Source organism: Homo sapiens, chromosome 3 (genome assembly GCF_000001405.40).
Source record: "Homo sapiens chromosome 3, GRCh38.p14 Primary Assembly".
Taxonomy (NCBI): Eukaryota; Metazoa; Chordata; class Mammalia; order Primates; family Hominidae; genus Homo; species Homo sapiens.
Genome location: NC_000003.12, coordinates 51,993,257 through 52,016,061, shown reverse-complemented (window position 1 = coordinate 52,016,061; position 22,805 = coordinate 51,993,257). Strand labels below are relative to the sequence as shown.

At 53.0% G+C, this 22,805-nt stretch overlaps 1 protein-coding gene across 1 annotated transcript, besides 5 other annotated features; it reads left to right on the top strand.

Annotated features, from left to right (window-relative positions):
* Positions 154–1,033: an enhancer, noted in NCBI's record as "H3K4me1 hESC enhancer chr3:52049045-52049924 (GRCh37/hg19 assembly coordinates)". NCBI's record gives its function as "activates a minimal SCP1, AML or CMV promoter by ChIP-STARR-seq in naive H9 embryonic stem cells {active_cell/tissue: H9 hESC(naive)}" and the evidence as "EXISTENCE:reporter gene assay evidence [ECO:0000049][PMID:30033119]".
* Positions 409–478: an enhancer, noted in NCBI's record as "active region_19924". NCBI's record gives its function as "activates an Ori minimal core promoter by ATAC-STARR-seq in GM12878 lymphoblastoid cells {active_cell/tissue: GM12878}" and the evidence as "EXISTENCE:reporter gene assay evidence [ECO:0000049][PMID:35858748]".
* Positions 10,713–11,593: an enhancer, noted in NCBI's record as "H3K27ac-H3K4me1 hESC enhancer chr3:52038485-52039365 (GRCh37/hg19 assembly coordinates)". NCBI's record gives its function as "activates a minimal SCP1, AML or CMV promoter by ChIP-STARR-seq in primed H9 embryonic stem cells {active_cell/tissue: H9 hESC(primed)}" and the evidence as "EXISTENCE:reporter gene assay evidence [ECO:0000049][PMID:30033119]".
* Positions 20,063–20,222: an enhancer, noted in NCBI's record as "active region_19923". NCBI's record gives its function as "activates an Ori minimal core promoter by ATAC-STARR-seq in GM12878 lymphoblastoid cells {active_cell/tissue: GM12878}" and the evidence as "EXISTENCE:reporter gene assay evidence [ECO:0000049][PMID:35858748]".
* On the top strand, positions 20,167–22,540 carry RPL29 (ribosomal protein L29). The gene is made up of 4 exons (NM_000992.3): positions 20,167–20,205; positions 20,593–20,637; positions 20,956–21,020; positions 21,936–22,540. Exons 2-4 carry the CDS (start codon positions 20,601–20,603, stop codon positions 22,311–22,313), a joined length of 480 nt encoding a protein of 159 aa, NP_000983.1. The 5' UTR covers positions 20,167–20,205; positions 20,593–20,600; the 3' UTR covers positions 22,314–22,540.
* Positions 21,976–22,708: an enhancer, noted in NCBI's record as "H3K4me1 hESC enhancer chr3:52027370-52028102 (GRCh37/hg19 assembly coordinates)". NCBI's record gives its function as "activates a minimal SCP1, AML or CMV promoter by ChIP-STARR-seq in naive H9 embryonic stem cells {active_cell/tissue: H9 hESC(naive)}" and the evidence as "EXISTENCE:reporter gene assay evidence [ECO:0000049][PMID:30033119]".

Below are 22,805 nucleotides of genomic sequence, written 5' to 3'. Positions count from 1 at the left end.
CCTAATTACTGAGCGGCTGCTGAACAGGCTGGGAGTGACCTGGATTTGGACCGAGGACCAGCCCCTGCCATCTCCCCCATCCCCCACCCCCAGCCTCCATCGCATGCTGCAGGGACAGACAGCTGGGGTGCAGTGTGTCTTTCAGGGATCTTCCCCTGGAGCCCCCAGCCCCCTTTCCTAGCCCTGTTCCCTTCCTGCTCACGATCTCTCCTGCAGAAGGTAGCTCTGGAAGAGAAGAGATGGATGCCCGAAGCCCTGGTAGCCCTCAGGGAAGATGGCTGCTAGGGGAGTGGCAAAAACCCAGAAAGCGGCATCCAAGAGGTCTTGCTGAGGTGAAGTGGCTGCTTCCCCTCCTGCTCAGCTCTTCCAGGGGAAAGATAGCAGACTGTGTTCAGGAGTAGGAATGGCAGATAAGAGGAAGTTAAAAGCTCTCCTGAGAGCCCCGGCACAGCCCAGGGCATGCTGGGGGCCCAGGCCTGCCCTTGGGGAGTCCCCTCACTCAGAAGAGGAGATGGAGCTGGACAAAGCAAGACAAGCGTGCAGGGCCTGGCCTGACTAAAGTGGTCCTGGAAGGCTTCCCAGAGGCAGTGACCTTTAGGCTCCGTCAGGTGAGGTGTACACTGTCCCAGGCAGAAGGAACAGGGCGTGTGAGGGTCTGAAAGTGGATCCTCCCCTACAGAAAGCACAGACAGAGAGGCAGGGCACTCCCTCTGCAAGCACCGACCATGCACCAGGCAACTGGCTGGAAGCAGCTAGATGGGCCCTACCCCAGGAGGGAGTGGGGTGGACACACTGGAGTCTAGAGGGAGGCTGATGTGGGATGTGGGGCCTCCCGTCATCAAGGTCCAGCATGCAAGAAGTACCTTGGCCACCTCCTTCCTGACCTGTTTCCTTTCTTGGTTCTGTGCTAGGATTGAAAGTCCCTTTCTTTGTTTCCCTTGGGGACTTGGAGGCCCAAAGGTACCTGCTCAGAAGGGTACTCCCAGCCCAAAGAGGTCAAGAGACTAAGCTGAGTTCACCCACCCAGTTGGCTGGAGTGGGCCTCAGAGAGGTGTCCACTGTAGTCTTCCAGTGGGGTTCTGGCCCAGCCAGAGATGAAGCCACCACAACGAGGTAGGTTAGAGACAGGAAGGAGATGGGACTGCACTGGGAGGCTGGACACCAGCATTTGAGAGCTGCCACAAAAAAGTCACGCTACCCCCTCGTCCCTAAGCCTAACTCCAGGGTGGCCCCCTAGAGGCCTTGCTGCCAACCCACGCCTTCCCAAAGCCATCCCTGATAAGAAGGCCAGGAAGGCTTTGCGGACTTCCTTTAATGCACGCACTGGATCCTGGGGCTTGGTGTAGCCTGAGGCCAGAAGCTGGGAGCAGAGTCTGAGGGCAGAGCAGGTGAAGTCCCTTCTCTCCACCCCTTTCTGCTGGTCTGGGCTTCCTGACCATCGCGGGGGCAACTGCTCTGTGCTCTGCAACCTAAATTGCAATGGCTGCCGAGGTATTTCCTGTCAAACACACTACTTTGCTGTAGTGTGGCGACTACCGCAGGGATATGGGGCCTCCAGGCTTCTACCAACAGCCCCCAGAGTCAGAGTCCTGTGACACATGCACACGTGTGCACCCAACCTGGAGCCCCAACTGCCTGGTCGTCTCTGGGTCCACCTCTGCTGCATCATCATTGTCCACTAGGGCAAGCTGTACCCTGCACAACACCAGGATCCTGCTTGCACACACCCTGCTCTCATCTCTCTGTTCTTATGAGATTGTTCCCATGCTTACACCTTTGCAACCTCTGAGGGCAGGTTTTCACCTGCTCATGGCACCTGACACACAGAGGATGCCTTATAAATGTGTGTTGTATGGATTGTGGGTGGTTGATGCATGGATGGACAGATGAGTGACTTATCTAAGCTCTCCTAGCCTGCTCTAGTGGATGTAGGACTTGAACCCGGGTCCTGGGCTTCCACATGCTGCCTGTCTTATTTGGCATCCAGCCTAATCCCAGCTGGATCCCCTTCAGGATATAAGGGTGTCTGTACAATGAACACCCCTAGTCTGTGCCCCCACCTCTGGCTGCCACTGAACAGCCTGGGTCACCAGGTCCCAGGTGGGCCTGAGTCTCTGTCCCTGCTGCCTGGCCAGACTTAGGAAGGTGTCACACATCTGAAGGAAGATGACATTGCCTGGGCCAACAGAATTCTCCCATTTGATCTCACCTCCAGGATCCAGAGCTGGGCAGAGAATGCAGCTAGGAGGAGAGAGTGAAGAGAGGGATGAAAAACAGGGGGTCCCTTACATCTCACCAGGCTCCCAAGCGAGTCAGGGAAAAATGAGCATCCAGAGCTTCAGCCCTTTGGGTGGGAGATCCTTAGAGGCCAACTTCTGAGTAGAAAACCTGTTCCAGGGGAGGATGGGGTGGGGCAGACCGAGCCCAGCAAGCACAGTGGTCTCAGAGCCAACAGGCAGCTGCCCCAGCTCAGCTCTGCACCAGCACCCAGTCAGCCAGACCCACATACAAGCTGCCTCCATGGATCATGGGCTTGGGCAGCCTGCTTCCTCCTGAAGCCTCAACTTTTGTATTCAGAATCAGGTGAGCAATGAGATTAAACATCAAAAGATCTCTGGGCACAGTACCCAGGCATTCCACAAATGGTGGGCTAGTGTGTATTGCTCCATTTTCCAGAAGGGGAAACTGAGTCCTGGAGAGATAAAGTGACATCCTGAATGCAATAGCAGAGCCAAGAGTGGCACACCAAGCTCCTGGCATATGGTGTGGCATTCTGACCACACTGCCTCCTGGCTTGGGGTGGGCCAGACCCAGCAGGTTCATGCATCTGGGATTTGTGGTCTCAGTTGGGTGTGTAGAGAAGAGCCACTCACATCTAGTCGAGGTTGGCTAAGCAGGCCTCCAACGTGGTACCTGGGTGACCCTCATGGCGGCTGACCCTGTAAGAAGCTTGGGAACACCTTACCCCAATCTGCCCTAGGCAATCGGGTCTGAAATTCTACCCTGAGCCCTTTTTGCTGTCCCTTCTCAATGTTGACCTTTGCCCTCCCTTCCCCCACACCCAACCTGGGGCCAGCTGCCCAGGAAGCTATCCTGGGCTACACACTTGGCCTGAAACATCTGCTGGACATGGCCAGACACATATCCTTCCTGTGACAAGATTGGAACAGGATGGGCAACACCGTCTTTGCTCTTTCTCAGGGCCATGCCAAAGTACAGGCTGTTCCTGGAAGATCGTGACATGAGCCGGGCTGGGGAGGACTGTGCCCATGGCCCTACAAGATACTGGGCAACTCTCTTGTCCGTGGATCGCAGGCTCCCCTGTGATCAGGCTCCACGGGGCTATAGCTCAGCATGTCAAAGCTAACAACTCACGGACAGGAAACTGGTCCTTTCCGGTGGGGAGGAGCTAAGTGCCAACAACTCCATCCCCCAATATAATAATCTAGCACCTTCCAGGCGGTGATGGTGGCAGGGTTCCTGTATGCCAGGATCTGTGCAGGCTGGTCTTCAACATGAGTTCTCTTGAGCTTGACTACAGCCCTGAAAGGAGGAGCTATCATTATTCCCATTCTGTAGATGAGGGTGTGAAGACCCAGACAGGGGCAGTCCTGAGATCACACAGCCCAAGAACTAGGCTCAGCCTAACCCTTGAGCAGGTGCTCCTCACTGGTACCAAGAATGTGGGTGTCATGGCCATTCACTGCTAACTGATGGGCTGGTGGCTTAGGTGGCAGCAAGAGTGAACCTCAGAGCCTCAGGGCTGTGCAGAAAGTATGGCAGGCATGAGGCCTAAGCTGAGGAGCAGGAGGCAGAAGTCACAACAGGAGGACAAATCCTGGTTGGATCAGGCCTCTTGCCCTACTCCTTGGACAAGGCAAAGAGTTCCAGGTACACGGGGGTGAGGAAAGAGGTAGCAAGGGACAGTGGCCTCAAGGGGCAGCCTTCAGGTGAGGAGCTGGCTGCAGAGACTCACAATTGTTGGCTTTTTTTATTCAAAATTTTAAAAAATTCACCGGGCATGGTGGCTCACACCTGTAATCCCAGCACTTTGGGAGACTGACGTGGGTGGATCACCTGAGGTCAGGAGTTCGAGACCAGCCTGGCCAAAATGGTGAAACCCGGTCTGTATTAAAAATACAAAAATTAGCTGGGCGTGGTGGTGGGCACCTATAATCCCAGCTACTCAGGAGGCTGAGGCAGGAGAATTGTTTGAACCTGGGAGGCAGAGGTTGCAGTGAGCCAAGATCGCACCATTGCACTCCAGCCTGGGCGACGAGAGCGAAACTCCGTCTCAAAAAAAAAAAAAAAAAAAAAAATTAAAAGAAAAAAACATCGGATGGGTTTGGTGGCTCACGCCTATAATCCCAGAACTTTGGGAGGCCGAGGTAGGTGGATCACCTGAGGTCAGGAGTTCGAGAGCAGCTTGGCCAACATGGTGAAACCCTGTCTCTACTAAAAATACAAAAATTAGCTGGGAATGGTGGCAGGTGCCTATAATCCCACCTACTCAGGAGGCTGAGGCAGGAGAATCCCTTGAACCCAGGAGGCAGAGATTGCAGTGACTGGAGATCGCACCATTGTACTCCCGCCTGGGTGACAAGTGCAAAACTCCGTCTCAAAAAAAAAAAAAAAAAAAAAAGAAAAGAAAAAAGAAAAAGAAAAAGGAAAAAAAATCAATGGGACTCACAATTGTTTTACAGCGTTCCCTGCCTTGTTCCTGCCACCAAAAGCCATCAAGCCTCCCATAATCCTTCCCAAGTGCTTCATATTCTACCATCATAGCATTGAGGATCCTGGATTGAAATCCTGTATCTATTGCTCCCAATGGGTGGGGAGCTTCAGTAATTTGCCCACTTTTTTTTCACAGCTTGCCAGGTGACACAAGGGGGACGGTCAATGAATATTTCTTAAATGGGTGGTTAGTTAGTTAAATGGACAGATGGATTGTTGGATGGATGGTTAGATGGATGGTTGGATGGACAGTTGGATGGATGGTTGGATGGATGGTTGGATAGGTGGTTGGGTGGATGGTTGCATGAAGGGCTGGCTCGTTAGTTGCTGTGTTAGTTTCCTATTGCTGCTGTAACAGATTATCACAAGTTTCATGGTTTAAAACAACACAAATGTATTATCTTACAATTCTGGAGGTCAGAAACCTGAAAGGGGTCTCACTGGACTAAAATCAAGGTGTCAGCAGGGTTGCATTCTGGAGGCTCTAATGGAGCATCCATGTCCTCCTTGCCTTTCCAGCTTCTGGGGGCTGTCATTTTTTCTTGTCTTGTGGCCCCTTCCTCCATCTTCAAAGCCAGCAATGTAAGACCAAGTCCTTCTCATGCTGCCATCTCTGTGGTTCCTCTTCTCCTCTTAAGAACCCATATGATTACCTTGGGCCCACCCAGATAATCCAAGATAATCCCCCTATTTTAACACCAGATGATTAGCAACCTTAATTCCATCTGCAACCTTAATCCCCCTTTGCCATGTTAAGTAACATAATCACAGGCTCTAGGATTAGGATGGAGACATCTTTTGGGGGACATTAGTCTGCCTATTACAGATAGATAGATGGTTGGTTGGATGGATGGGTAGATGTATGGATAGATGTATGTATGTATGTATGGATGGATGGATGGATGGATGGACAGATGGATAGAGGGTTGGATGGATGGGGAGATGTATGGATAGATGTATGTATGTATGTATGGATGGATGGATGGATGGATGGATGGATGGATAGAGGGTTGGATGGATGGGGAGATGGTTGGATGGATGGATGGCAGACTAAGCCCTCCTGACCCCCCTGCCTTTGATGGGAATGAACAGCTTGAGACAGGTCATACGTGTTACCTCCCATCTCCTGTACTCTCTATCACTATTAATATAGTGCAAGAGCACTGAACCAGGAGAGGGATGTTTGCCAGGAGTGTCGCCCAGTCGCCCAGGCTGGAGTGCAGTGGCGGGATTTCGGCTCACTGAAACCTCTGCCTCCTGGGTTCAAGCGATTCTCCTGCCTTGGCCTCCCGAGTAGCTGGGATTACAGGCTTGCATCACCACACCCAGCTAAATTTTTTGTATTTTTAGTAGAGACGGGGTTTCACCATGTTGGCCAGGCTCGAACTTCTGACCTCAACTGATCTGCCAACCCAAGCCTCCCAAAGTGCTGGGATTACAGGCGTGAGCTACCGTGCCTGGCCACCCTGCACGTCTTTCTCTTGCATTTTATCTTTCCAAATGACTTTGGCGCTCCCAGAGGTAGGGAACTCTGTCCCACTTTCCAGCCTAGCACTCCAAACGATATTTGACTCTTACCTGCTGGTAAATGAGAGAATAACTTTGTGGGACATTCAGTCGGGCTGGGAGATTGAGAGGGGGGAAGGGATCTGGGATTCGCACCCCCTCTAGCTGAGTGTGATGGGATATCCATGAGGGGTAGCAGGGAGAGGAGCTCAGCCCCCAGAACCCACCCACTTGGGTGGGATGTTTTACTGGGGAGAAGAAGGTCAATTAAGTTTGTGTTTATTCCTTGTTTAATCTATTTAAATACCAAATACTATATATACACACACACACATATACTATATATATGGTATATATACACATTATAGTATATATGTGTATACACATATACACACTATAGTATATATATGTGTGTGCAGATGTATATTGTATTTATTTATTTATTTTTATTTTATTTATTTTTTTGAGACGGAGACTCGCTTTCGCCCAGGCTGGATTGCAGTGGCGCGATCTTGGCTCACTGCAAGCTCTGCCTCCCGGGTTCACGCCATTCTCCTGCCTCAGTCTCCTGAGTAGCTGGGACTACAGGTGCCCGCCACCACACCCCGCTAATTTTTTTTTTTATTTTAGTAGACATGGGGTTTCACCCTGTTAGCCAGGATGGTCTTGATCTCCTGACCTCGGGATCCGCCCTCCTAGGCCTCCCAAAGTGCTGGGATTACAGGTGTGAGCCACAGCGCCCGGCCTATATATAGCATTTAAACAGATTATATATATAGTATTTAAACAGATAAAACAGTAGTATTTTTTATATATATATATATATATATATATATATATATTTTTTTTTTTTTTTTTTTTTGAGACCGAGTCTTACCTGTTGCCCAGGCTGGAGGGCAGTGCTGCGATCTTGGCTCACTGTGACTTCCACCTCCCAGGTTCAAGTGATTCTTGTGCCTCCCAAGTAGCTGGGACTACAGACATGTAGTACCACCACACCTGGCTAATTTTTGTATTTTTAGTAGAGATTGGGTTTTGCCATGTTGCCTAGGCTGGTCTTGAACTCCTAGGCTCAAACAATCCACCCAACTCAGGCTCCCAAAGTGTTGAGATTACAGGCGTGAGCCACTGCTCCTGGACTAAATACAGTATTTGATTAATATAAAAGAATATCAGGCCAGGCACGGTGGCTCATGAGTGTAATCCCAGCACTTTGGGAGGCCAAGGCGGGTGGATCACGAGGTCAGGAGATCGAGACCATCCTGGCTAACATGGTGAAACCCTGTCTCTACTAAAAATACAAAAAATTAGCAGGGTGTGGTGGCGGGCGCCTGTAGTCCCAGCTACTCGGGAGGCTGAGGCAGGAGAATGGCATGAACCCGGGAGGCGGAGCTATCAGTGAGCCGAGATCGCGCCACTGCACTCCAGCCTGGGTGACAGAGCGAGATTCCATCTCAAAAAATAAATAAATAAATAATAAAATAAAATAAAATAAAATAATATCTGTGGCTGGACGTGGTGGCTCACACCTGTAATCCCAGCACTTTGGGAGGCCGAGGCAGGTGGATCACCTGAGGTCAGGAGTTCAGGACCAGCCTGGCCAACATGGTGAAACCCTGTCTCTAGAAAAATACAAAAATTAGCCAGGTATGCTGGTGCATGCCTGTAATCCCAGCTATGCGGGAGGCTGAAGCAGGAGAATCACTTGAACCTGGGAGGCGGAGGTTGCAGTGAGCCAAGATGGCACCACTGCACTCCAGCCTGGGTGGCAGAATGAGACTCTGTCTCAAGACTCTATCTCAAAAGAAAAAAGAAAAAAAAGAATATCTGTAACGGACAATGCAGACAGTGCAAAATAGTATAATTGACACCTGCGATCTACCATACAACACAGAATGGGCACGGAACTTGCCTTGCTAGACCATAAGCTCCACAAGGCCCGGGCTTCATGTCTGCCTTGCTCATGCCTGTATCTCCCCACACCATGAAGAGTGCCCGGCACCCTGTGGGCCTGTGGCAGGTGTCCGTGGGTGGGGTCCCCCGTGTGGGTCTCCCTATCCAGCTCCTGCCTCTCCTCGAGTATGGCAAATTTTGGTTTAGCACTTCCTAGCCTGCAGATAGTTCTGTCATCATACACACCTGAACTCCTAAAACTATATCATTTAGTTATACTTCAGGGGGGCTTTATAAAAATGGCTTTGAACTGAATGTAGTCTCCTGCAGTTTGCTTTTTCACCCACATGATGGTTCAGGATTCACCCATGCTGCTGTCGGAGCTGCAGCTGATTTCTCAATTTGCCTGTCACCGGATATTTGAGTTTCTCCTTAGGAACAGTGTTGCTAAAAATGTCTCTGGGGTCGGGGGAGGGAGTTATTGTCATTATTATTATCACTGGTCCTGTTCCCATTCAAGCAGGTTCACACTCCCTCCTCTCCTCCCAACCTCCCGCAAGCACAGCCACTTCCCAGTCCCATTGGTGCCCCAGAATGAGGCTCCCTGTGACCTGAGCCAAACCTGGGTGGGGGTGGGAGGGGGTGTGGGAGGGGGCACAGCTGTAGGGAACTTCTATCTGGATCCATGCCCCTGCACCCCACCTTGAGTCACCCCCAAAAGCACGTCTCATCCCCCAGGCCCTATGTTTAGAATAGGATGGAATGGGAAAACAGACTGCAGTTGGACAGTGCCGGGTTCAAAATCAGCCCATCACGTCCAAGCCATGTGACCTCAGACAAGTCCCCCTTTCTGAGCCTCGGTCTCCTCACGTGTGATGGGGGATAACCTCAGTGCTGTCCTCACAGAGCATCTCAGCGCCAGAGGTGCTCAGTGAAGGGCAGGGAAGCTGAAGTCGTAGCTGTTGCTGTTTTCCCAAGGGCAGCTGCTATCTATGCTCCATCTTCCCCAGATGCTGTCAGGAACTTCAGAGAGCATCTAATCCAGACCTCTTTTACAGATGAGGGAACTGAGGCAATGGCGGGGGCTGGGAGCTCCCAGCCTGTTCCCTGCTGCAGGACAGATTGGTCCAACACCAGTATGTCCCCACTGCCTCCGTGCACATGCAAGGGACTGCCATCCTGTCCCCCTTCCGCCATGCAGCCCTGGACCTGCCCTTGAACTGCTTGTACAGCATCCTGCTCTGGCCTGGCCCTGGGGTATGAAGATGGGGATGGCAGGGGGGCAGCAGTGACCTCCACCTCCCAGGTTCAAGTGATTCTTGTGCCTCAGCCTCCCAAGTAGCTGGGACTATTACCATGCCACCTGACCCCAGGCTTCTGCCTGGGCCCTGAAGTCACCTTCCACTCTCCCTGAGGCCCTGGAGTCCCCACTCTCCCTGACCTGCCCTGCTGCACCTCGAGAGACCCAGGTCCTGCCTGCCCAACCTGGGCATAACACCCACTCTGCTCTGAAGGGTGGTCACGGGACTTGCCCCCTCTGCAGGCACCAAGGCGGTTGGGAGTGAGTGACAGGGAGCCTGATGCTGCTGCTCCAGACAGATGAGAGGCTGCCTGCAGAATGGGGGTGGAGGCAAATGCTTGATTTTGCAGTTGCATCCAGTTATCAGATAAGGAAGTTGAGTTCAGTGTCACACAGAAGGAACAGGACATGAGACCAGACCTGACTCCTCTTGCCTGATGCCCAACACGGCTTGCATTCTGGTGCCCTGTGGGAGGGCAGGGAGGAGGCTCCTGCCCAGAGCATCTACAGGGGGAGTCTCCTCCAAATCCGGTGTCTGTGCTGGGAGGAGCACCCCCGCTGCAGCCAGGCCACTTACCCTCAGTGATGCAAGTGCAGGGGTCAGGGCCAGCCCTTCCCCAGGTTTTCTCAAGAAGCACTGTCCCCAGGGAGCAGGCCTGAGCCTGGAGGAATGGGCGAGAAAGGGCCAGCCTCCCTTCAACAAGCTGCACTCCTTCCCACCTGCCGACACTCACTCTTCTCCACTTCCTGTCAGGGAACCCCCTCCTGGCTGCGGCAACATTCCCTCCAGGCGCCGCCCCCGCAGCCCCCAGGCCCCTCCTCTGCGCCAGGGTGGGAGCTCAGTAATTCAAGTTATTTTTAGCCAAGCTGCATCCTCCAGGAGATTGGAGTCAAGGGGAAGCCACCCCCGCACCTCCAGGAGCTGCTTGCGGAAAGAGTGATCGATTAAAACCAGTGCTGCAAGGGCCCTGTGCCAGGCAGGCAGCAGGCGCTGAGACAGGCAGAGCCAGGACCGTGGGCCTCTCACCCGCTGGCTCCTAGGCACTGGTGCCGCGTTGTTAGGAGTGGTGGGGGTCCCCACATGTCCCTCACTGCCACCGCTCAGCAGCTGCTTGTCAGCCCAACCTCATCTGACCCTGTCCCCAGCAGCCCTGCCCACGGGGAGGAGGGCCACCGCAGAGCCATCCCCTTCTCTTATCCCCACTCTGGGCGGGATTCTTTGCCTCTGTCCCCACCAGCCTCTGCCCACCAGGGGAGATTGGGGAGGGCAGAGAAGGACCCCCATTTTGCCTGCCTGGTCATCTGTCCAATCTGAGCCTTGTCCTAGGAGACCTGCTGGGTGGGCAGGGACAACCCTGACCCCCTGACTGCCAGCACCTGGCCCTGAGGATTACTGGGAAATGGGGACCAAAGCCGCAGGTGGGCACAGGAGTAGGCAGGTGGCTGGGGGATTAACCAGGGCTGAGGAGTGCCTGGGTGAGCCAGTGACTGAGCAATGTCCACAGGCCAGGCCCTGGTAGGTGCTCGGAATGAACAGGTCCCTGGATCCCCACCACAGCCTGCCAAGTAAGTGATGCCCTGCTCCCCCTCTCCCAGATGAGGAAGCTGAGCCTTGGGGTTGAGTCTCTGCTCAAGGTCACCCAGCTGCCTGGCATCCAGGCAGGTCTGGACCGTGCTCCCCAGCCCTCGCCAGTGGCTGCCTGCTGAGGGGGTGCCTGAGAATTTGAAGAACTAATGAGTGGGTATGGGGCCGATGTAGAAAGAGGGACTAACAAATGCAATATTGCAGGGGGACGCCTGCTGGATGAGGTGGGCCCGAGTCTCCTAGCACCTGTCCCCACCTTCCATGGACACCTCAGCACTGTCCACCAGAGGGTCACTCCTTCCGGTAGGCGTCCCCTTCCTTTTCTCAAGCTGTCATCTTGGGATGACACTTCCTACACTTGGGTGACACACTTCCCACCTGAGTGTAAGAGTCTCAGGCAGTGTCCACGCCCAGGAGAGTTTCAAGGAGCGGCTTTGATGGGGAGAAAAAGCTGGGTGATCACGGGCAAGTCGCTTTACTTTTCTGAGCCTGTTTCCTCCTCTGCAACGTGGGATTAACAGGCGAGGACACTCTGAGGGTGTGGTGAGAACCAGCCACAATAAAGGCAAAGCTCCTGACTCCAGCCCCCAGCAGCAGGCCCCTTTCTCTGCTGGCGCCCAGGACTTGGGCTGTGTGCGGGAAAGGCAAGAGCACCCTCTTCCGGCCAGGCCTTGGGGTCTTCAGGGTCGCAGCGACAGCTCAGGGAGGTCCGGATCAGCTGGGAGAGCTATGAGAGCAAATGCCAACCTTCACCCTCTCCAGCCCACTGTGTTCTCTCCACCTCCACCTGATCGCACAGGGCCTGCCTCATCTTCCAGGGAGGCTCCCAGGGCGCTCCTCCAACCCCAGAAGGTTTCTGGAGCCTGCTGGCCTGGCTTGAATGGAGCCCTCTCTGGTCTACATCTAGGGGTGCTGTGCCCACAGCTTCCTCCCCTCCCAGCCTCCCCGGCTCTGCATACCGTAGGTGCTCCAAGTGATCATGGCAGTAGCCCTGGCACAGCAGATACAAGAGGTTTGGGGCTGGGACCCCCTCCCAGGACCTGTCCATAGCTCTGTGTCTGCCGCCTCATGGGAATCTTGTGTAGCCTGTGTGGCCGACCTTGTTTACGTGGAGGTGGGATTGGGCCATTTAGCAGCCTCTGAGAAGTTGAGTGACTTGCCAGGGACACAGTCAAGAAAGGGCTGCCCTTGGGCCAGAACCTGCTGCCTGCAGCCACAAGCCCTTCGTGCTCAGGGGACACTCTCAATGGGACCTTTAGAATCCCCAGCCCTCTCAGAATTCTAGCTCCTCTCTGATCTTGCTAGAGTCCCGTGTGCCGCCCTAAACAGGGCCAGAACTCATTCTCCTTCCTTAGCCTATGTTGCGCTGGGGCCTGGGAGGGGGTTACTGAAGCACTAAGTTTAGGAAACCCAGGAACACCAATGGTAGGGAGGCAGGCACCTCTCAGGGAACAAAAGTGGGTGAGGGCAGCCAGGGGCTTTCTCTGGACTCAGGAGAGAAACATCAGCAACTGCCTTCCCATGGGGTGCAGGTCTCCTGTGGCCCTCTGTACCTAGCCACTCCTCGGGCCAACGGTAGCAAATGCAGCCTCCACCCTCATCCCGGCTCAGGCCTCTCTGGTTCCCTCCCTGACTCTCCAATACTCACTGTGTGCCCTTGAGTAAATTCCTCCTCCTCTTAGACCTCAGTTTCCCCACCCATTGGCTTAGAGAGGGGAACTAGATGATCTTCAAACCCCCCTGCTCCAGCGCTTGTTTCCTAAACTCCGCCAGGGGCTCCTGGGTCACAGCCTCTGTCTCCTGGGAGGGAGTGAGGACTGGGAGACTTGGGGCTTGAAATCTTTGGGAGAAGACAGCTCCCTTGTTCATTCAGAATAATTCTTTCAAAGGTCATTTCGTCCTGTCCTGTCTCCATCTTAAAGAGTTGTCCATCTGATCCCTAGGAAGGGGCGGTCCTGGGATGCAGCCAGGGCATTAACCCCAGGACTGCTTGGTGAGCAGAGAAGTCCTTTCTCCCCAGCCCGCCAAGTCTCTCTTTAGTCTGAGCTGGGAAGAGAGGGAGGGAGGGTACAGGCGAGAGGTGCATCCAGGCAGGATGGGGTTAAAGGAGAAAGGGAGCTAGAAGGGGGCTGTGGTTGCCAAGGCAACGACATTGCTGGGGCCATTGGAGCCTGCTGGGGAGGGAAAGGAGAGGGGTGTCCCTCCCAACCCTCAGCTTCATTCTTCCTTTTCAGATGCTCTTTGTTAAAAGGGAATCTCCGTAGCCTCCTTTTGTGGCTGGGAACAGGAGTGGGGAGAGATACTTCGGGCTTCCATCCAGCCCTGTCCAACACCCTCATGTCACCCACCTACCCTATCCCTTCCCTCCCATCCTTCCTAGCAGGTCGGTTTTCTGTGCTGCTGGACTTTTCTTCCATTTATACTTGGCCAGTCCTTGGCTGCCTGAGGCCAACTGACCCCAGCCCAGGCCTGCTCAGGCAGCAGCCTGCCCTCCACCCAAGGACACTACCACCTCCTTTGTAGGCCTGCTCTGGATGTGGCAGGTGTGTCTGGCAGAAGCAGGGGCTGGCACAGAGGATGCCCTCACTCTGGGCATCCGTTGGCCATAAAGGCCACGGGCTTCTCTCGTCACATGGCAGTCACTGTCACAAGGCCCCCTCCATGGCCTCATTGGGTACAAACCACCCCGTGCCCCCCCAGATTCTGGTAGGTGCCTGGACTGCAGTAGCTCTCCATTTGGCTGTGGGACCTCTAGCCAGTCATGCCCAAGGACTCCATCTCCCCACCTGTGAAGTGGGGTGATAAAAACCATACCCCCTCCAAAGGCTGCTGTGCGGTCTCACAATCAAACCCGCGGGCCTCCCAAATGCACAGCGAGGCTCTGGGAGGCTTCCTGCCTCCTCAGCCCTGGTGCTACTCGCCTCCACTGTGGCAGGCAGGCTCCAAGAGGTGAAGATGCTCTGCTGGTGAGTGGCAGTCAGAATCGAAAACCAAGTCTGTCTGATGCCAAAGCCTGTTCCTTTAACCCACAAGAGGCATCGCCCTTGGGTAAGTCTAAAGTGGGCCAGGAGGGGCTGTGCCCAGGGATGCCCACAGGCTCTACTTCCTCTGCCTTGAACCCTCTCTGGGGGAAGACAACTCACCACCACCACCAGGAACTTGGAGCTGAGGGAGACCTGACCCAGCCTAGAGAACCTGTTCAAAATAGACAGGCACTGAATCTGGAGGTGGGGGTGGTGGGGCGTGCTGAGAAGCGCAGCTGTGAAAGGCCTGGGAGGCTGCAAGAGTGTCCCGCCGGAGGGGAGCGGGTGCCTGTCTACAGCCCACCTGCAGCACCAGACTTCATCCGCGGTCCCACTCTGCCCCCTTGCGGACGATAGGCTCACATCCCGGCTCACTCCTGGGCTAGGTGGGCCAGGTGCGCCCCCAGAGGGAGATCAGGCCTGGGGCTGAAAGGGGCGCGCGCGCGATGACCTGAGGAATGGGCCGCACCTTCCAGTTTCTGCTGGAAATGACTCTCTTTTGACAGATACTGAGCACCAGCCTGGCGTTGCATGCAGCCCATGGCCCTTTCCTTCTACCAGGAGCTTTGAATCCCAGGCTCCTGGTGGGGAGTGAACTTAACTCTATTTTCCAACCCTGCATTCCACTTTTTTTTTTTTTTTTTGAGACAGAGTTTCACTCTTGTTTCCCAGGCTGGAGGACAATGGCGCGATCTCAACTCACTGCAACCTCCGCCTCCTGGGTTCAAGCGATTCTCCTGCCTCAGCCTCCCAAGTAGCAGGGATTACAGGTGCCCACCCCCACACCCATCTTAATTTTTTGTATTCTTAGTGGAGATGGGGTTTCATCATGTTGGCCAGGCTGGTCTTGAACTCCTGACCTCAAGTGATCCACACAGCTCAGCCTCCCAAAGTGCTGGGATTATGGGCGTAAGCCACCATGGCTGGCCCCCTCCATCCCATTTTTAAACCCCCAACCCCAGGGCATTCAATCGCTGCTGGCAAAACCCTTGTATCAGGAAGCTCACTACTGCTGGGAGCAGCCCATATTTTGGAGGGAATTCTGATTGCAAAAATGCCCCTTGTCCACGAAGCTGGCATTTGCTGTCCTCAGTCACAGCTCTGTCTTCTAGGGACACACAGAATCAGGTAGCCCCTCCCTCAGAAAGTTCTAAGCAGATCCAAAGTCCCAAAGCCCACCCCACCTCCACACTTCTGTCTTGTGGGGGTAAAACAACCAGATAAAACACCCTGGTTCTGACAACCTTCACAGTCCCTCTTACCTGAAAACACTGGTAGTCCCTGTATCTCAGGAACCTCAGAGGCTGAAGGGACCCAGCCCCCGCGAGCACCGCCACTTTCCTCCACCTTGGCTTTCTCTTGTTGTTCCTTGGATCTTGTCCTTATTTTTAGCATCCACTTGCCACTGATTTTCTTTCCCCAAGCCCCGTCTCCCTCACCTGAGGCCTTGTGGGGAAGATGCATGGATGGGACTAACAATGATTGAGCACCTACTGTGTACTTAACATAGTGTTCTGTGCTTTACTCAAATTATCCAGTTTAGCCCCAAGAGGTTATTACTATTTTTATCCCCACGTTACGCTGGGAACTGAGGCTTGGCAAGCAAGGCTCTGGGTCCAGGAGAAGAGCTGACTCTTATCTCTGAGAAATCCCTCCAGGCCAGCTGGCTTCTCCACCCTGATTCTGTCATCTTCCTGGATTTGTGAAATGTGCACATTTAACTCCTCAAACATGTATCAGGTCCCCATATACTCCTGGGACTGTGACAGGAACTGCAAAAACAACCCCAGGGGTCTCCAACCCCATCACTTTGCTGAGGAGACACTATGGGATCCTACTCGGGCTTTGAATTGGGTAATGGGTCTGGACAAGGCCTGGTCAAGACAACACCCTTGCAGGCCACATGGGTTGGGCTGATCACATCCAGCCCCATCCAGCCCTATCTTGTCACCCAGGCTCACATCTTTCTCTGCCTTGTGCCCAAGGCATTTGAGAGAGACCTGGCTTATGCTCTGCTGAGTCCAGATAGTGGCTCTGCCCAAGTCTACTCCATGGAGGAGGCAAGTGGAGCCCGGCCTCCAGGCAGATTTGAGATGGAGCAAGAACCACTCACTCATGGAGGGTGAGAGTGTGTCAACCCTAGAGGAAAGGTTAAGTTCTTTGCCTTTTTGTATGTGTGTGCCAGAGACTCCATTGACATATGGTGATATTTATTGACCTCTTCTCAAAATAATGTTTCAAAATATGTAAAATAGATTAAGATTACAAAAGATTTTCATGAGCAGAGAAAGATGTCCACAAATTATGACTAAATGCATAAAATCAGGTTACAGAAGAGTTCATATAGTGTAAGTTTCCATTTATGAAAGAGAGGAGTGAAAAAGGGAGGGAGGAAGAAAAGAAAGAAAGGAGGGAGGGAGGGAGGGAGGAAGAAAGGAAGGAAGGGAGAAATAAAGAAAACTATCCCTAGAAAGAATACTATCTTTATAGACATGGATGACCCTACCATCCATCCCACTTTGAAAAGCATGACAGGGACTAGGCGTGGTTGGTCACGCCTGTAATCCCAGCATTTTGGGAGGCCAAGGTGGGTGGATCACTTGAGGTTAGGAGTTCAAGACCAGCCTGACCAACATGGTGAAAACTCATCTCTACTAAAAATACAAAAATTAGCTGGGTGTGATGGCAGGCGCCTGTAATCCCAGCTACTCAGGAGGCTGAGCCAGGAGAATCGCTTGAACTGGGGAGGCGGAGGTTGCAGTGAACTGAGATCGTGTCATTGCACTCCAGCCTGGGCAACAACAGCAAAACTCTGTCTCAAAAAAAAAGAAAAAGAAAAGAAAAGCATGACAGGTCAGTGGCTCCAGGTCATGGTCCCCTTTGGCTCCTGGACAGGTCCCCTCAGGTCACAGCCAAAGTTCCTCATTCTTGTCACTGACTCCCCCTTGCCTAACAGCTGGGATTTAACTCTGGGCCAATCCCTAACACAGCCCCAGTGGTACTGCATGACCATCGTCCATCTCTGAATCTGCCTCCCCCGTCAGACCGTGGCTTTCTGCTCACTGCTTTTTCTGCCTCTGTCGTAACAGTCTAGCTAAACCAAGTCACTACTCACTTTTTAGGAGCTGCGGGAGTCGCTACCCAGCTGGAAGGCCACATAGCAGGGCAGCCTGGTTCTTTTAAAGTCATCACAGGCTGGACATGGATTACAGGCTCACGCCTGTAATCCCAGCACTTTGGGAGGCCAAGGAGTGTGGATCACCTGAGGTCAGGAGTTCGAGACCAGCATTGCCAACATGGTAGAACCCCGTCTCTACTAAAAACACAAAAATTAGCTGGGCATGGTGGCAGGTGCCTGTAATCCCAGCTACTCGGGAGGCTGAGGCAATAGAATCGTTTGAACCCAGGAGGTGGAGGTTGCAGTGAGCCAACATCGCGCCATTGCACTCCAGCCTGGGCAATGAGAGCAAAACTCTGTCTCAAAATAAATAAATAAATAAATAAAATAAATAAAAGTAAATAAATAAAGTCATCACTGCCCCCGCTGTCAGCCTCTACCCTGCTGGCTTCTCTTTCTCAAGGATGTGGCAGTCAGACCTCCTCCTCCCTGTCCCAGTCTCCACAGCCACCTCTTCAACTTCCTGAGCTGAAGTCCTGACTTGCTGTCAGGCATCACACCACCCCCACCTCCTGTAGCCCCTGTCTTTGCCCACCAGGTTCTCTACCTGTGCTCAGCACCCCACAGGGACTTTATTCCTGCAGAGACACTCTCCTCTGGGCTCAGCTGTTTCTTTCTTGGCACCAGATCATCCATCAGTATATAAGCCTGCTTTTCATTCTCCCAACTCACACCTGTCAGAATTCTCTCCCCTTTCTCAGGAATGCTTTGGTAATGAGTCATCCACATGTCCTGCCTCCACAACCTCCTTTCCGCTTCACTCCCTAAACCTCTGCAGTATGCGTCTGTCACTCCACGAACCTGGCTTGTCAAGGAACGTTCACTGGGCATGTGTTTATTAAGCTCTTGCTCTATCTACATTATGCTGAGTTAGGCAGTGGGAAAATGAAGGTGATCAAACCAGTCCCAAACTCTGGGCTCCTATGATAATGGACACATACACAACTAAGTAAACAATGCAATTAGAGTCTGGGAAAGTTCTATAAAGAAAGCAAACCATGGCCGGGCACGGTGGCTTACGCCTGTAATCCCAGCACTTTGGGAGGCCGAGGCGGGCAGACCACCTGAGGTCAGGAGTTCAACACCAGCCTGGCCAACATGGTGAAAACCCGTCTCTACTAAAAATAATTCTTTAAAAATTAGCTGGGAGTGGTGGTGTGCGCCCGTAATCCCAGCTACTCAGGAGGCTGAGGCAGGAGAATCGCTTGAACCCGGGAGGCAGAGGTTGCAGTGAGCTGAGATCGCACCACTGCACTCCAGCCTGGGAGACAGAGTGAGACTGTCTAAAAAAAAGAAAAAAAAAAAAAGAATAGAAAAGAAAGGAAACCATGAGAGGACACAGAATCACTGGTGAGATGAGGCAGTGGTTCTCTATTTTAGATAATGGAGTCCAGGGAGGCCTCTATAGGAAAGAGCACACCATCCAAAAAGCAGGGAGAAGGGCAGTCCAGGTGGCTGGGATAGCAAGTGCAAAGGTCCTGAGGCAGAACACACATTTGTGGTTGGCAGGAAAGAAAGGCAATGCGTTTGGAGAGAAGTAAATGACAGAGGTTGTCAGGGTCAAGTGGGTAAAGAATTGATCTTCAATGCAAGGGGATGTCCTTGCAGATTTAAGGGACAGGATCTGATTTGTATCTTAAAACAAGTCCCCAAGCCCCACTGCCGTGTGGAAAATGAACTATAGGGGGAAGAGGTGGAGAAGGCAACAGAGTTGTTAGAGGCAACAATTTCTCAATTCTGATGTCCAACAGGCATCTCACATTTAATGCATCCAACAAAAATATCTGGCTCATCATTCCCCCTCAAAACAAAACAAACAAAGCCCCTGCTCCCCACTCAATCTTCCATCTCTGTAAACAGCCCACCATTCACCCAGTTGTCAAGCCAAAGACATAGGGGCTATCCTTGCCTCCTTTTTCTCCCTCATCTTCTGTGTCCCAAGTCCAGTACTCTTTCTTTGTCCACTCCTCTGCATTCCCACTGTCCTCCCTCAGGTCCAGGCAGCCCTCTCTCCTTCCTCCCCTCTGCTCCTTCTCCACGAAAGAGTCAGGCGTGCTTTTCTTTTTTTTTTTTGAGACAGAGTCTCGCCCTGTAGCCCAGGCTGGAGTGCAATGGTGCGATCTTGGCTCACTGCAACCTCCACCTCCCAGATTCAAGCAATTCTCCTGCCTCAGCCTCCAGAGTAGCTGGGATTACAGGCACGTGCCACCACGCCCCGTGAATTTTTTTTTTTTTTTTTTTTTTTTTTTTGGATTTTTAGTAGAGATGGGGTTTCACCATGTTGTCCAGGCTGGTCTGGAACTCCTGACCTCGTGATCCGCCCACCTCAGCCTCCCAAAGTGCTGGGATTACAGGGGTGCTTTTAAGAACACAGATCGGCCAGGTGCGGTGGCTCACGCCTGTAATCCCAGCACTTTGGGGGACAGAGGCGAGCGGATCGCGAGGTCAGGAGTTCGAGACCAGCCTGGCCAACATGGTGAAACCCCGTCTCTACTAAAAATGTAAAAATTAGCCGGGCGTGGTGGTGGGCGCCTGTAATCCCAGCTACTCGGGAGGCTGAGGCAAGAGAATCGCTTGAAACCGGAAGGCGGAGGTTGCAGTGGGCCGAGATTGTGCCACTGCCCTCCAGCCTCGGTGGAAGAGCGAAACTCCGTCTCAAAAAAAAAAAAAAAGAAAAAGAACACAGATCTTCTTGCCCAACAACATCCCTCAAGGACTCCTTTCTTTTTCAGTATCTTGAATAAGACTTAAGAGACAGGTCCTGGAGAAACAGAGAAGGGAGGAGGCAGCCTGAAGGGGGCGGAGGCAAGCTCGTAGCACCGCCTCCACGTCTGGCTTGCGTTCTTCCGGGCTTCGGAACTTTTCTTCGCGGAGCCTGGGGAAGCTTTTCCAGTAGTACTTTCCGGCGTTGTTGACCCTATTTCCCGTGCTGCACCGCAGCCCCTTTCTCTTCCGGTTCTAGGCGCTTCGGGAGCCGCGGCTTATGGTGAGTGTTGGCCGCGCGGCATCCGATGCCATCCGCGACTTACGGGTGGCGGCGGGGCGCGGGCTGCGGAGAGGACTGGTGACCGACCGTGTGTCTGTCGGGAGCAAAAGCTGCGGGGTGGGAATGGTGCTTCTAGGTCCTAGGAGGGGGATGGCAGGGAAAGCCACTTTATTGGGGAATGCAGCTTTCCGGGGGTAAGGAGTTGATTTCAGGGCATCATTACCTGGGTTTGGGAGGCCAGGACTGGCGTTTGGTCGTGCAGAGTAAGCCGAGACTCGTGGAGGCTGCACATTCTCTGCCTGCAGGCTCATTCTGACCAGAATGGGGGGGGCAGAGGTGGCCCAGCCTGGCGAGCCCTTAACCCTGATCTCCACTTTTGTCTTCCAGGTGCAGACATGGCCAAGTCCAAGAACCACACCACACACAACCAGTGTAAGTTTTTTGGGCCCTGCCTACATCCCAGACCCTGGCAAGGACTGGTTCAGGCAAACTGGGACAGAGATGAAGGGGCACGTTTCCATTGTGGGCCTGAGGCTGATTGATTTCACCCAGTAATAACTTTAGGGTTTATAGGTTTAGAGATCTACTTGAGATACAGAGTGTTTTGCATTTAGTAGTAAGGGTTTCCCATATCTCAAGTGTAGCTGCTGTAGGAAGTGTTGGTTCTCCCAGACTTGCCAGCTGTGATGTTGGGTGGTCTTATTAGAGGAAAGTTCTTTGTTGGCTTAATTCCCTTTTTTTCTCCCACAGCCCGAAAATGGCACAGAAATGGTATCAAGAAACCCCGATCACAAAGATACGAATCTCTTAAGGGGGTGAGTGCACTGAATCACATGGAAGTGTCTTTTCTTGGTTCCAGGTGCACAGTCAAGGCCTCTCATGTAGTTTTTCTCTAGCTTTGGCTTCTGCCTGAGCACAGCCTAACTGGCCCACCCAAAGCCTGCAATTCCTTTTTCTACCCTACCAGACCCATAATAAAGCTTTCCTTGGTCTCCACAGCCTGAAGTGTAACCCTCTGGTCAGGGTGTAACCTGCCTCCTGAGGGCAGTTTGGCTATCTCCCTTGCTTGGCAGTGGCACTTAGGGTAAGGAGTGGCCTTGTCTGAGTGCGTGCAGGGCACATTCCCACACTGACCAGCCTTATGACCTCCATCTGACCCAGTGCTGGAGTTGGGGTCAGCTTCTCTTCCTGTGTCAGGGGGTTCTAAGGATTAGCTGAGAAGGCTGGAGGGTCTAGGGGAGAGCTGAGCATGTCCCCAGTCTGTTCCTTCCCTTTACTTTTGCTCTCTGTTCCGTGGAGTGAATCACAAACTCTGAGCCTCAGTTTCCCCATATCCCACCTTGGCTATAAGTCTTTTGGACCAGACTTGGTATTTAATTGACACCTTCTTCTAAAGAGGGGAGGGGGTGTCCCTGAGGGGATGTCAGGAAAAAACTTGGTCGAACCCCTGCTGTAGGAAGTTGAAGCCCCACAACCTTGGCAGACAGGGCAGCAAAGCAGCTTGTAATTTTGTTCTTGAAGGAGGTCTGCACAGCATTACCCAGGTGGCGTATTGGCTCCCTGGGGTGGTGGTACACTTTCTCTGGAAATAGTTTCAAGAGGTTGGGTATTTCCACATTTGAGGTTGACTTGATGCTGTCTTTAGAATGCTGGGTACCCCTATGGAGAGGGGCAGCAGGGAGAGACTTGGGGACCCACATGCTGCCACCTGTACCTTTCCTGCTTTTCAGGTGGACCCCAAGTTCCTGAGGAACATGCGCTTTGCCAAGAAGCACAACAAAAAGGGCCTAAAGAAGATGCAGGCCAACAATGCCAAGGCCATGAGTGCACGTGCCGAGGCTATCAAGGCCCTCGTAAAGCCCAAGGAGGTTAAGCCCAAGATCCCAAAGGGTGTCAGCCGCAAGCTCGATCGACTTGCCTACATTGCCCACCCCAAGCTTGGGAAGCGTGCTCGTGCCCGTATTGCCAAGGGGCTCAGGCTGTGCCGGCCAAAGGCCAAGGCCAAGGCCAAGGCCAAGGATCAAACCAAGGCCCAGGCTGCAGCCCCAGCTTCAGTTCCAGCTCAGGCTCCCAAACGTACCCAGGCCCCTACAAAGGCTTCAGAGTAGATATCTCTGCCAACATGAGGACAGAAGGACTGGTGCGACCCCCCACCCCCGCCCCTGGGCTACCATCTGCATGGGGCTGGGGTCCTCCTGTGCTATTTGTACAAATAAACCTGAGGCAGGATTTGTTAGCCTCTGTCTATGATCCTGGGGATGGGTTTGGTTGCTCCATCTGTTGGTGTGGGAGAAGACATGGGTCTGGATGGTGGGGTGTGGGTGGGAGTCAGGAGATGGGGCCCTGAAGTGCAAGAGGAGGACCTAATGAATGAGAAATGATTGGGGGCTTTTGGGAAGCTCGGGCACATAGCTTGCTGGACTGTGTAACCTGCCGAGCAAAGGGAGAAATTTTTTTTTTTTTTTTTGAGACAGAATCGTGCTCTGTCACCCAGGCTGGAGTGCAGTGGTGCCATCTCGGCTCACTGCAAGCTCCGCCTCCCAGGTTCACACCATTCTCCTGCCTCAGCCTCCCAAGTAGCTGGGACTACAGGTGCCTGC

Bases quoted from the DNA above. Each gene is read 5' to 3' on its own strand.
- RPL29 (NM_000992.3), top strand. From the start codon at position 20,601: ATGGCCAAGTCCAAGAACCACACCACACACAACCAGT. The intron at 20,638-20,955 runs GTAAGTTTTTTG...TTTCTCCCACAG, and splicing joins CCACACCACACACAACCAGT to CCCGAAAATGGCACAGAAAT. The intron at 21,021-21,935 runs GTGAGTGCACTG...CCTGCTTTTCAG, and splicing joins GATACGAATCTCTTAAGGGG to GTGGACCCCAAGTTCCTGAG.